General features: G+C 47.7%; 1 protein-coding gene across 2 annotated transcripts in view; it reads left to right on the forward strand.

The window, feature by feature from the left end:
- The window catches only part of IGSF21 (immunoglobin superfamily member 21), a 270,686-nt gene that overhangs the window by 68,834 nt on the left and 188,618 nt on the right, over positions 1 to 13,234 (forward strand). The gene's annotated exons all lie outside the window — the stretch shown is intronic.

Raw genomic sequence — 13,234 nt, forward strand, 5'->3', positions numbered from 1 at the left:
GAGTATCTGCGCCCCTGACCCTGTGACCTTCTTCCCACCATGGAAGACTTTCCTCCTCTTCCTTGGTGAGGTGGGAGGAGTTCCGGGGTCTCCACAGAGAATTTAGAATACAGAGCAATTCCCCAAGGAAACAATGTTACAAGTCATTGGTAACCACAAATGTAAATAAAACGTTGTCAGCTCCCTTGGGGATTAGGGGGCTTTGGGGGCTACCCTGGGGCTTTAAGGACAACAGGCCAGCTGTGACTTTAGCAGTGCTATTAGTAGCCTTGCCCACTGCTTATTGAGCTCCTATTTGCTGGGCACTTGACATACAGCGCTTCCTATAATTTTTCTGGATGTATTTGAGGTTGGTGAGTATTTTTATTTCCCCCTTTAACAGATGAGGACACAGAGTGGTTTAATTCCAGGCTAAAGTTTGCCATCCTCCCAGTCTGTGCTTTTAACCATGACTTTATTGTATCCACTGACACTGTTTATCTGGGAAGATATATTGCTTGATCCAAGAAGCTGACTTAGAAGTGAACTTTACAGACAGATCCTTCCATAAGCTAAAGATTGCATAGACTCTGGTGGCCTAGAGAATCCAGAGTCAGTAATAATCCAATAATGGGCACTTTCTGAAGGACTCAGACAACAGGGCAGGTGGTCCAGGGTCCAAGGTTTTTCCTTTGCCCCGAAAAGTCCATGCAGAGCCCTGAGCATGTACCCAGAGATGGCTGAGAAGGACTGTGGTCGTGTGTGGGGATGGGGTCAGTGAGGTGTGTGTGTGTGTGTGTGTGTGTGTGTGTGTGTGTGTGTGTGTACATGGTTCTTGGTACATATGCATAAACCTATCTATATTCATGTGCACATAAAACATAAACACAGGCCATTATCCAGTCTCAGGTTCTCTCTGATGATTTTTTTTTCTGCAGTTGATTATTGCCTTGTCCTGTCTCTTCATCTCTTATTTCTTATTCACAAACACACTTACTGATGTGGTGTGCATTTCCTTAATTTGCATGGGTTTGCATAGTGCCTGGGGAATGATCAAATGTCTCATCCCCTCTCTCCACTTGAACAAGGAATTCCCCATTTAGAGCAACGACCCTGTGGAAGGGGGAGTGGGTGTGTTTGGGTGATTGGATCGAGGAGGTGGCACATATATGTTAAAAAGTCATATTCGGTATGCCCGTTGTCTTCAAAATATATCCTATGGCAAACAAGCTTCTCAGTGAGTGGAGAAGATGATGAATTTGGATCTCCTAGGGGGTGGATGAAGAGGCGCTGAGATTGGTGAGTTTATCTGAAGGGGCAGGGGTGGGATGCAAAGGTGGGCACGATGGGGCGAGTTTCTTACTTTTTTTCTAGCTCTCATTGGCCAGTGCTTAAGCCATCACATAGATTTCAATCAGCTGTAACAGATATAACCTTGAAGTGTGAGGTTGTCAGGAAAAAGAAGAAAGGAAGGCGGGGAAGTGGGGAGAGAGAGAGAGAAAGAGGGAGCAGGCTGGAAAAGAGAGAAAGGGAGTGTCAGACACTGTGACAACAGCGTCATTCCCTCCATCGTGTCCTGTTGACCTGCCGCAGGCCAGCCCCAAAATGCATACAGCCAGGTCTTGCCCAATCAGATATTCTCGTTATCCCCTTAATTATTCTTTACAATTAAGCTGTATGTTCTCCATTTACAGAAGAGGAAGTGAAACCATAAAGAGGTCCCTTGGCCACCGAAAGGGAGACTCGGGTTTCAGCCGAATGTCTTTCTTCCTGAGTTGAAATCCCTGATCCACCTCTTACCATAATAACCATGTGATATTGAACGAGTTATCTAACTTCATGTTGCCTCAGTTTCTGCATCTGTGAAGTGGGGATAATACTGCAGAACTATTAGGGTTGTATAAGCCTTAAATGAGTTAATGTACATAAAATGCATAGAACAGTGCCAGGTGCATATTAAATCCTGTATAAGTGTTAGCTATTATTCTATTGTTATTATTCTACGAGCATAGATTGTTCAGTTAAAAATCTTGTCCCTCCCTCTTTCTCCCAGTGCCCCTTCCTGCCAGCTTCTCCTTCCTTTTAAGAGTTAAGCCCTGGGGTCGGCTTCTCCGGCCAGCAAGTGATGTCATCCCCCCTTCCCCTTCCCCCTACCCCACCCCAGGGTCTGGCCTCCCAGAGGACGGGTCTGTGCCTGTTTTCCAGACCCCCAGGCAGGCAGCAGTTCGGGGAGCGAGCGCAGGGATGCTTATTCTCCGCCCTTCCTCTCTTTGAGAATCTAAGGGCATAAGTTAGATAACCGTGACACCTGTTTTAAATTAGCCTTCAGAAGCCTCCGACAGCTGAGAAATTATTTAACAGGGAAAGAATTGAGTTCATGAATAAATATTAATATTAAATCACCACTTCCCTAGATTTAAGAGGAAGGGTGGGGGACTCACCAATAGATGGAGGCAGCAGGTGTCCTGGAGATGCCACTGTGCAGGGCTCAGAGAAGCCAGCTGTGGGGTGGGACTACGGAGCCACCGACCATTGGTCACCTCGTTCCTGTCCAAGCCGAGAGGGGACTCTGTCCATCAGGGAGGCTGGCAGGTGGCAGAGGCAACATCCAAGCAGCTCACGGCAACTCAACAGGTGCTCGTTTGAGCTCCAACCTTCCCAGGCTGCGGTCTTAGAGGGAGAGAGACTCCACCTGAGAGCTGCCCAAAGCATGGAGCAGACTCCCACCCCCATCCCTCAGAGAGGGGCCACTGTCCCAGCCCAGCCTGGCCCCATTGTGACTTTCATGGGTCCAGCACTGTTACCTCCGTGGGCCCCTGCCTCCATGTAAAAATGGTAAAATGTTTATTTTATGACCACATTGGAATAAAGATGTATTCCAAAGATGTAATCCAGGCTGGATTTGTAATTCTATATTCATTATTATTTTATTCATTTTTTTCCCTGATTTTAAAAGGAATCAAAATGAAAACATATTTTGGGCCCTGGGCACGGTCCCTACTGGGCCTGATGGAGGCGGCAACTCTCTGGCTGGGGTCGGGGTGACGGATGCTTGAGCCAGGGAAGCAGGAACTGGTGAGGAGGGGTCGGCTTGGGGGTGAGGGTCTCCAGGGGATGGCAGAGCCACCCAAGGGATGTGAGGATCTGGAAACTCAGATCCCATCCTTTAGGTCCAGATCACAGATTGAAATTAAGTAAGAATCATCAATTTCTATGAATAACAAAAGTAATAATAATGAGTATGAATGAATAGCACACTCTGCTTTGACTGTCCTGACCCCCTTGGCATTCTTCAAAAGCCTCCAAGCAAAAGGAAAAGAAACTGCCAAGCACATTCCAGGCTCAGGGCCTTCGCCTTAGCTCTCCTGGCCTGGCATCCTCTTTCCTGGTATTTGAGTGACTCGCTCTCCCTTCTTCTTGGGTCACCATCCTAGTGAGGTTCTTCCTGGCTTTTGGATCGAAATAGCCCCTCTACTCCCTTTATCCACTGTTCTTTTCCCCTCCTTAATTTTCTCCATAGCACTTCCTGCTTCCTTATATTCCACTGCGTGACACATGGAAACATAGGGTATAATAGAATATACGCTGCATGTGGCGAGGTGTAGATGTTTACCAGGTTGTAGGGACTTTGTTTCATTCTTCTTTGTGCACTTAGCATCTAGAATAGTGCCTGCCATGCAGGGTGCTCAAAAAACCCTGAATGAATGAATGAATGAAACATGTCTGGCACATACATGGCAGTTACAACCATCTTTGTGCCTAGCGCTTTGGGTTGCTGAGCCCTCAGCCTTCAGTGAGGAGGTATTGGCCTTCTTCCACCATTGCAGAGACTGAGGCCTGGACATACAAACAAGCATGCCCCACAGTCATACAGTTAAGGTAGATCAATAGCTTCCCTGGATAAAACAAAGTGTAGACAGGTCCAAGGTTTGAGCAAAAAAGTGGTTTGGAAGGCGCAGTTATGGAAGGATGAGGGAATAAGGGGGCTGATGATTTCCCTTCCTACTCCAGGTTCAGCATTTCAGTTTCTGTCTGCACCAGAGCCTTCTAGGCTCTTTGTTGGAAACTGTGGATGTCACACTATAGCTCATACTTACTTATACAGAATTTAATATGCACCTGGCACTGTTCTATGCATTTTACATATATTAACTCATTTAAGGCTTATACAACCTTGATGAGTTCTGCAGTATTATCCCCACTTCACAGATGCAGAAACTGAGGCAACATGAAGTTAGATAACTCGTTTGATATCACATGGTATTGTGGTAAGAGGCGGATCAGGGATTTGAAATCAAGAAGAAAGACATTGGAGTTGGGGACACTGGTTTAAGTGCCTGCCCTGCAGAACCTAAGCAGATCTGTTTTCCCCTGGGCCTCAGTCTCCCCCTCTGTAAAGGAGGGAACTGGGCCACAGTCTGTGATCCCTGCATCGGGCAGGGCTGAGTGCTCCCTTCTTCTGCATCCAGGCTTCCCACCAGGGAAGGGAATGAGCCCTCCTCCTTGCTGCCTCCCCTCCTCCTAGTCCCCGGCTCAGGGCCTGATGCCTGCAGGTGGTGGTGGATCCTCGGTCGTGCGGCGGATGTGTTCTGGCATCATTTAACACCTGCCTCATATCTCCGAAGCCCCATCCTACACGTAGCTGTGAGCACATAGCTCTGCCGAACTCCAAATAGACATAAGCCACTGCCCTGCTCGGCTTCTTGTCTAATTATGGCTGCGACATTGATGTGACAGGGTGCGTTTAATTACAGGACCATGCACACTGACCCAAACGCTGTTTTGGCCCAGAATTTTCCAGCTTGAGCAGCCCAAACGCTGTGTGTGATGATAATAATAAGGACCTTTAGATTGTGCTGGGGATTAAATGAGATAATACATGCTTCTGGCAGGGAGCAGGGCACCAGCCAGTGACCTGTGGTCAGGTCCCAGCTCCTCCTTCCCCTTCCTGCTCCTGACATGGATGCCCACTCTGCCTAGCCATGCCCTGGAAAGACACCCATCCTATCTTGGCTAGGCAGAATGTCAGCTCTGTCTTTTTTGAATTTGTCCTCCAAGGATTTGCAGAAGATGGGAACAGGGGAGGCCTTCTGAATATAGTGACTCTTCTCCCAGCTCCCAGAAGCACATCTGGCTTGGCAGCATCTTTGGGCCACCCAAAGCCAGGGTCCCTTGGCCCAGGCAGCATTTGGGTCAGTGTGAGGGCCTTCAGTAAGCACACGTTCCCATCTTGACACCACTGCCATCACTAGATAAGACACTGAGAGGGACGGCGGGCTGTGTTCATTTTGTGTCTGATGAGCTCTGCTATAAAATGAGGAAAGCAGTTCAGAGAAATTAAGCAACTTGCCCAGAGTTGTCCAGCTAGGAATTTCCAGAGCTGTACTCAGATTCAGAACTCTGGGTGACTGCCCTATGCCAGGCACCCCCATTTGTTAGCCTTTAAATGGGATCTGAAACCTTTATTTATCGGGACAAGTCCTGAGTGTCCAGCAGACCAAGCTTTCCTTCCTTTCCTTCCACCACAAAGTGGAAAGTCTTGCCACCACTTCTGAAAGGTGTCTTTTTTTTTTTTTTTTTTTTTTAGACAAGGTCTCACTCTGTTGCACAGGCTGGAGTGCAGTGGCGTGATCTCGGCTCACTACAACCTCCACTTCCTAGGTTCAAGTGATGCTTCCACCTCAGCCTCCCCAGTAGCTGGGATTACAGGTGCATGCCACCACATCCGGCTAATTTTTTTGTATTTTTAGTAGAGACAGGGTTTTGCCATGTTGGTCAGACTGGTCTTGAACTCCTAACCTCAGGTGATCCGCTCACCTCGGCCTCCCAAAGTGCTAGGATTACAGGCATTAGCCACTGCACCCGACCCCCAGAAAGTGTCTTTTGAGGGTAACTTGTTTCTTCTTTTCCTGAACCTGTGGCATATGTCACAACTCTTAGCAGCTGTCCCAGCACTGGTTCTTTTCCCTCCTGGCAGTGACCAGAGCTGTCATTAAGTGACTCATTGTGAGAGCAGAGACTGTCTCTGTCACCACTGTTGAATGAATGAATGCATGCATGGATGAATGAATGAATGAAACATGAAACTCTTTCCTGAGTTCTGTCCTTTCATTGCTCTAGCATGCTGCCCTCTGAGCACTTCCCACCCCTCGAGGGGGGTCATCCGTATAGGGGTGGGAACAGAGCCAAGGTGCCTAATGGGGTCCGAAGCCTCTCCACCTGGTGAAATTGCCTGTAGATTCCATGTCTGTGTCTGTCCACTTGACCCATGCTCCAGGCCCCGCTGCCCTCATCTCTCGTTCCCCTGATGAATCACACGAGGCCTGGTGACACAGCATCATCACTCTCCTTATCCAGCAGACGCGACATCACCCTCCTTCACCCGCTGCAAACTGGCTGCCCAGGCATTACAGGAAGCCACCCTGCCCCCTCCTGGGCCTGGCTGCCCTCGCCTCTGTAATATCCTTTTTCTAATAGAGTGACCTGAACCCTATGTGCTGTTCTAAAAGCAGCCTCAGAAGCCCCTGAGACAGGCAGCCAGGTAATTCCCCTGGCGGAGGCACGATCTTACCTTGCCCTGCATGTCTGAACCTGCTGGCTGGCTGAAGAATGTCCGTTTTATAGAATATAATAAAATAAAACAGGTTCATTCCACAAATTTTGAGGCACCATCTAGCTCTGAGGTTTGGGGGCTCTTCCTTTCCATTAAGTTGTAAACTGCATGAGAACTGGACCATGTCTGTGAATGGGTGAATTTTATTTTATGTAAATTAAACCTCAAGGTAGCTGGTAACAATGAATGCAAGTAGATAGGATATATGGCAGCTGAAATAATATTCCAGGAACAATGATAACCTTGTGCATCTGGTACCCATGAGGAGGAGGTCAGAGGTGAGCCTGGAAAGCTGGCACAAGCCCAGGTCATGGATAGCCTTGAGCAGCATTTGACATCATGAGATACGTAACAGCCATCGCTGTGTAACAGCCAGCCCAAAACTCAGTGGCTTAAATATAACCATTTATTCTCCTACCACAGATTTATGGTGGGTGGAGGTCAGCTTGCGTGAGTTGGGCTCAGCTGGGCCATTTAAGCTGCTGGTCCAGCTGGGCTTGGCTCCAGATGGTGGGTTGAACTGTGTAGTTCATTCTGAGGTCCCAGCTGAGGGAGCAGCAGCTCCCTCGGGTGGCGGGTGGTGCGGGGGGAAGCTCTTCTTGTGAAGGGGGCAGAAATGCAGAAGGGAGGGTCCCACTGGGCAAGCCTATTCCAAGCCATTGCTCAACCGAACATCCCATTGGCTAAAGCAAGTAACATGACAAAACCCCACAGTGATGGGATGAAGAAGTAGGTTCTGCCCACAGAGAAGGGGAGAAGGGAGTGGGTATTTGCCGAACACCAGTTCAAGCATTCACAAGGTAACACAGGATAGTGTCAAGAGAATAGGTTCTGGAGTCTGGGTTCACATTTTGATATTCATCAGCCATGTGACTTCAGGAAAGTAACTTCCCCTCTCTGTGCCTCAATTTCCCCACCAAAAAAGCAGATATCAAACATAGCCCATTCAATGACATAATCTCCATCCAGCCTTCTAGCCTTGGGCTTCTCACAGAGTGAGCACTTATGTCCACCATGATTTCAAAGATGATGAGAGATATTCCAATTTCCTCTTTGTTATCCTTTCTGGTTCCCCGCATCCTCCTTTCTTTCTGCTGGGCCAAACCACCCTCCCTTCTCCCCCTCCCCAGGGCCTCCACTCTCTTCAAATATTTGGAAACGTCCCTGGGGTCCCCAGTCTCGGTCCTGGTTAAGCCAAGCTACACAGATTTCGTTCCTTTAATCTTTCCTCGTAAATTAATCCCTCTGAACCTTTAATCATTTTCCTCGAATGAGATTCAAATGAGACGCTTGTCTGGACTCCCACCGCACACGGGCTGCAGCCTGGTGACAGCCTGTCATGCTGACAGGTTTCTTGCCCTTTGGGGAGGGTGCACCAAGCTGCCCCAGAGATAAGAAGATTGTGGGTATCAGGAACTCATACCAACAAAACAACCCAAGCTTTTGTGGGTATCCTGCCTCTTTACCTGTGTGTTTCCTGAAGTAGGAATGGGTGGTTGATGACGTGCACCCTCCCTCCCCCAGCTCCTCTTGTGACCCACTGGCCACCAGTTATCCCTTATATGGAATGTGTGCCCTGTCTTTGTACTTGGCATGTCAAATCCTCACGATCTCCCTGAGAGGTGAGATGAGACAATAGTAAGACCGTGAGTTCAAATCCCAGTCCAGACACTTCTGAGCTGTGTGACCTTGGGCATGTGTAACTTAACTGTTTTCTCACCTGGAAAATGGGTTCATAAGAGTACCTGTATCATAGAGTTGTTGGAAGAATACAAGGGACAGCTTCAAGTAGTATTTGGCACAATAGTATTTGGTCTTGATGAATGTTGGTTGTTGTAAGTCATAATTACTCATGCATGGCAGATGGAGAGAGTCATTCAGAGAGGTGAGGTGAGCTGCCCAAGTTATAGAGATGGGATTAGAACCCCTCTCTTAATGTAGGTCCAACACTCTGGCTCAGCCTGGCAGAAAGGGTGCAAGGGATCCCCGCATAGTGGGACAATGAGTGGGATCCACAGACCTATCTAGGGACTAATGGAATGTCAGATACACGAACAGCTTGTCCTTCTCTTAGTCTCTGGGTTGTGGGTTTGGAAGCTGGCTGCTTGTTTCTATTACCTTCTAGGAAATATCCTTCTGACTGATCTTCAAGTGGTTTCCAAGTATTAAAGTTAATGGTTGAGGAGAAACACTGGAACAAAACATATTCCCTCCCAGAGTTCCGCCAGGCAGCAGGATCCACATGAATTTGTAATTCCTAATGGCATCACTCAGGCATTGCTCGGGCATTTAAGCTGCAGGTTGTGCAGCCTATAGACAGCTGGGGTATTGTTACACTGGGCAGATCTGAGTTGAATTTCTTCTTCCTAATTGTGAGAGCCTGGTGTTAAAGATAGATTTTGGAGTGAGACTTCCTGGCTCAGAATCCCAGCTCTGCCTCTTACTCTCTGACCTTAGGCAAGCAACTTTACCTCTCCGTGCCTCAGTTTCCCCATCTTGGAAAAACAGGGATGATAATAATAGCACCTATGTCATAGGGTTGCTGTAAGGATGAATAAATCAAAATGTTGAAAGTGCCTCTGAGAGTACCCAGCACAGGAGAGCTGGTCATGTGTTTGTTGCTACTGTTGTTGCCATTTCACTGTATCCCTGCAGCTGGGCAAGTCATTGCCCCTCTCTGAGCCTCAGTTTCTATAAAATAGGTGCACTGGTCCTTGTCTCCCAGGAGCTGGGTGAGAATCTGGTGAAATAAAGTGGTGGAAAGTGCCTAGCCAAATGCCAAAGCGTTATGCATTTTGAGGGATTATTAGGGGGATGGCAACATAAGTGTGAGTGGCAGTGAGGTGAGTGATGAGCTGGGCTATTTAAATGAGAACTTTGAAGCTCCCCAGAAGCCTGTATTCCCTGTCCCCCAGACACTTGCTGTGTTGGAATATCTCGTAGTTTTCCACTTTCCACCTGGGAGACTGATTTGCTCAAAATTGGCTTGGGGAGGGCAAAGCTCTTAGGGGGTTGAGCACAAAGGGACAGGGAAATTGTAAATCTTGCCCCCAACAGTGAGTTGCTGGATGATTGGGAAATGGATTGTTGAATCTCAATCTCTCTGTCTCCTGCTCTTCCTCCCTCCTCTAAAGCAATTGAAGAAGAAGATGGATACCATCTGTCTCAAAGCCGGGCACCTGGAAATCACTCCTCATACCTCCTTCTTCACCCTCCGTGGCTAGTCAGTCACCAAGGCCTAGAAAGATCCCTCCAGAATAGCACTTGGAGTGACCCAATCTGTTTCCCTGGCTGGAGAGCCCAGTGGCTCTCCCCTGAATGTCTACAATGACATCTAACTGCATCTCTTACCTCCTTTCTTGTCCTTTTAGAATCCACTCTCCAAGTAGCAGCTTGCAGAGTATTTAAAAAACACTCATCTGATCGTCCCCCAATTCTTTGTTGGCTTCCCTTTTTTAAGAAAAATGTTCAAAATCCTATAAAGAAGGACCTGTTTTTACCTTATTTTGCAGAGGGGGTTCAGTCCAACTTCAGTGGCTTTGCATATGCCTTTCCTGCCCCCTGGAATTCTCTTCCCTCCTCTCATGATCTCCCTGCCCTCACCTAACTTCCCTGGGGTAACTTCTGCTCATTCTTCAGGTTCCCGTTGCCTTGCTCACTGATGGAGGCCTTCCTGGCTGTGTCTGGGATCTATGCTCTCATAGCATCCTCTGTCTTTCTTCAACACACTTATTTTTGTAACCATCATCCCTCCTGTGACCATCGTTTTAACCTCTCCTGGGGGAGTGGTACCATAAAGGCAAGCTCGGGCTGCTATAACAAAATACTGTAAACTGCGTGGCTTCAACTATAGATTATTTTTTTTTTTCTCACAGTTCTGGGGACTAGGAAGTCCAAGATCAGATGGCGGAAGATTTGGTTCTTGGGGAGGGCTCTCTTCTTGGCTTGCAGATGGCTGCCTACACACTGTTTCTGAATATGGCAGAGAGAGAGATACAGAGAGAGAGAGAGAGAGAGAGAAAGAGCGAGTGAGCACACTCTGATCTCTCTCTCTTCCTCTTGTCACAAAGACACTAATCCCATCATAAGGGCCTGTATTAGTCCGTTTTCACTCTGCTGATAAAGACATACTCAAGACTGGGTAATTTATAAAGTAAAAGAGGTATAATAGATTTGTAGTTCTACGTGGCTGGGGAGGCCTCATAATCATGGTGGAAGGTGAAAGGTACTTCTTACATGGCGACAGCAGCAAAGAATCAGAGAGCCAAGCAAAAGGAGTTTCCCCTTATAAAACCGTCAAATTTCACGAGACTTAATCACTACAATGAGAACAGTATGGGGGAAACCACTCCTGCGATCCAATTATCTCCCACTGGGACCCTCCCACAACACATAGGAATTATGGGAGCTACAATTCAAGATGAGATTTAGGTGGGGACACAGCCAAACCATATCAGGCACCACCCTCAAGACCCATCTAAACCTAATTACCTCCCAGAAATCCTACCTCCAAATACTGTCACATTAGGGATTAGGGCTAGGGCTTCAACATATGAATTTTTTCTGGGGGGGTGGGGGAGACATAAACATTGAGTACGTAACAGGCAGTTATGTTCCTCTCTGGACCACTGATTCTGAGCACAGTCCTTGGTAGTAAGCGGACACTCAGAATGTTTGTTAAATGAATGAACAAATGGATAAATGAATGAATGAATGAACAAACAAGTGAATACATGAAAAAAATTATAGTCCTGCTTGAACATTGAATCTGGAGGTCCCCCCTAGATTTTGGAGGAACCCTGTGAATCCACGTATGCCTCAAGAGGTCTTTGTGACAACAGGGGAGGCTGGATAAGACACTATTCAGCAAAGACTCTATCTTTTCTTAGCAGTGACCTAACTGGTAGCAAAGTTGTGGCTTGCTAGGATATTTTGACTTTTTCTGAAACAAAAATAAATTTTCGAAAAAGAAGAAGAGGAAAAAGTCACGTGGAACTGCTCCGATCTCCCAGCCATGAAATATCCCTCTGGGATTAGATCCCCTGCTGTGAAGTATTGCCCCATGATTAGATCTCAAGCCATGAAATATAACCATGAATTTAGATCTCCTCCTTGGAAATACAGTTTGCTGATTAGATCGCCCCCATAAAATATGGCCTTTGGGTTAGTGCATGCCAGTAAAATATGGCCTTTGATTAGATCACCGCAGGGAAGGCTGAGGTGCTAGCTGAGACTAGGAACTCTCACCACATCCTCACAAAGTAAAATATAAATATATGGAGAGGAAGAGAAAGCAGAGGAGGTAAATTAATAACGGTGACATTTTGGAACTTGGACTTTCTTGAAGGTTGTCAGCGTGAGGGAAGGGATGGGGACAGACCTGGGCGTGTAGACTCCTTCACTGGGTAACCTGGTGCTGGTGACAGCTGGTGTATGAGGCTCCCTGTGTACCCAGAACTGTGCAGAGCACTTCATGTGTGTTAGCTCCTCTAGCTCCCAAGAGGAAGGTGACATTATTATGGTCCCCATATACACATGGAAATTGAGGCACAGAGAAGCAAAGTCAGTTGATCAAGGACTCATAGCCAGACGTGTCAGAGCTGGATTTGAACTTGGCCCCTCTGCCCCTTGAGCCTTTACCCTTAGCCACTGCCCTTTGGTTGGCCCAGCCGATGCCACTCCTGACTTGCGGTGCTAGGGCAGTGTGGCTCCCACAAACCCTCTGCTGCTGCAGGGGTGAGGAGTGAGGATCCTTGTGAGAGTCAGAGATGAGCTGGCACTGCCCCTGGGCTCACCCTGGGTGAGGAACAGAACAGATAATCCCAGAGTCAGAGCCCAGGGAAAGGCCAGGGAGGCCCTTCCCCACACTTAACAGGAAGCTCAGGCCCAGAGATGGGCAGTGGCAGCAGGCCCAAGGCCTCATAGCGGGGTGCCAGCAGATCCAGACCTTGAAGCCAATGTCGCCCGACTTTGGGGCAAACATCCCCTTCTTGCTATGTAGTTCTCTCTCTCGCTTGCTGAAAGGAGCAGAAAACTAAATTTGGATCATGAGTTTATTCAGAGAGATGGCTTAGTGTCATCACCTCCCAGCTCACTTAGTAATCATGTGAGCTGGACATTGTGCTGGGCACCATGGTGCAGCCGTCTCCAACCTTTTTGGCACCAGGAACCAGTTTCGTGGAGGATGAATTTTTCCACAGACCAGGGCAGGGGCGAAGGTTTCAGGATAATTAAAGTACATTGCATTTCTTGTGCACTTTATTTCTATTATTATTACATTGTAATATATAATGTAATAATTATACAACTCACCATGATGGAGAATCAGTGGGAGCCCTGAGCTTGATTTCCTGCAACTAGATGGCCCCACTGGGGGTGCTGGGAGACAGTGACAGATCATCAGGCATTAGATTCTCATAAGGAGCTCACAACCTAGATCCCTCACTGATGCAGTTCACAGTAGGGTCCGTGCTCCTATGAGAATCGAATGCCGCTGCTGATCTGACAGGAGGTGGAGCTCAGGTGGTCATGTGAACAATGGGGAGTGGCTGTAAACATAGATGAAGCTTGCCTGCCATTCGCTTACTGATGTGTGGCCCGTTTCCTAACAGGCCATGGGCTGGTACCGGATTTGAACTTGGT

This window comes from Homo sapiens, chromosome 1, assembly GCF_000001405.40.
Source record: "Homo sapiens chromosome 1, GRCh38.p14 Primary Assembly".
Classification (NCBI taxonomy): domain Eukaryota; kingdom Metazoa; phylum Chordata; class Mammalia; order Primates; family Hominidae; genus Homo; species Homo sapiens.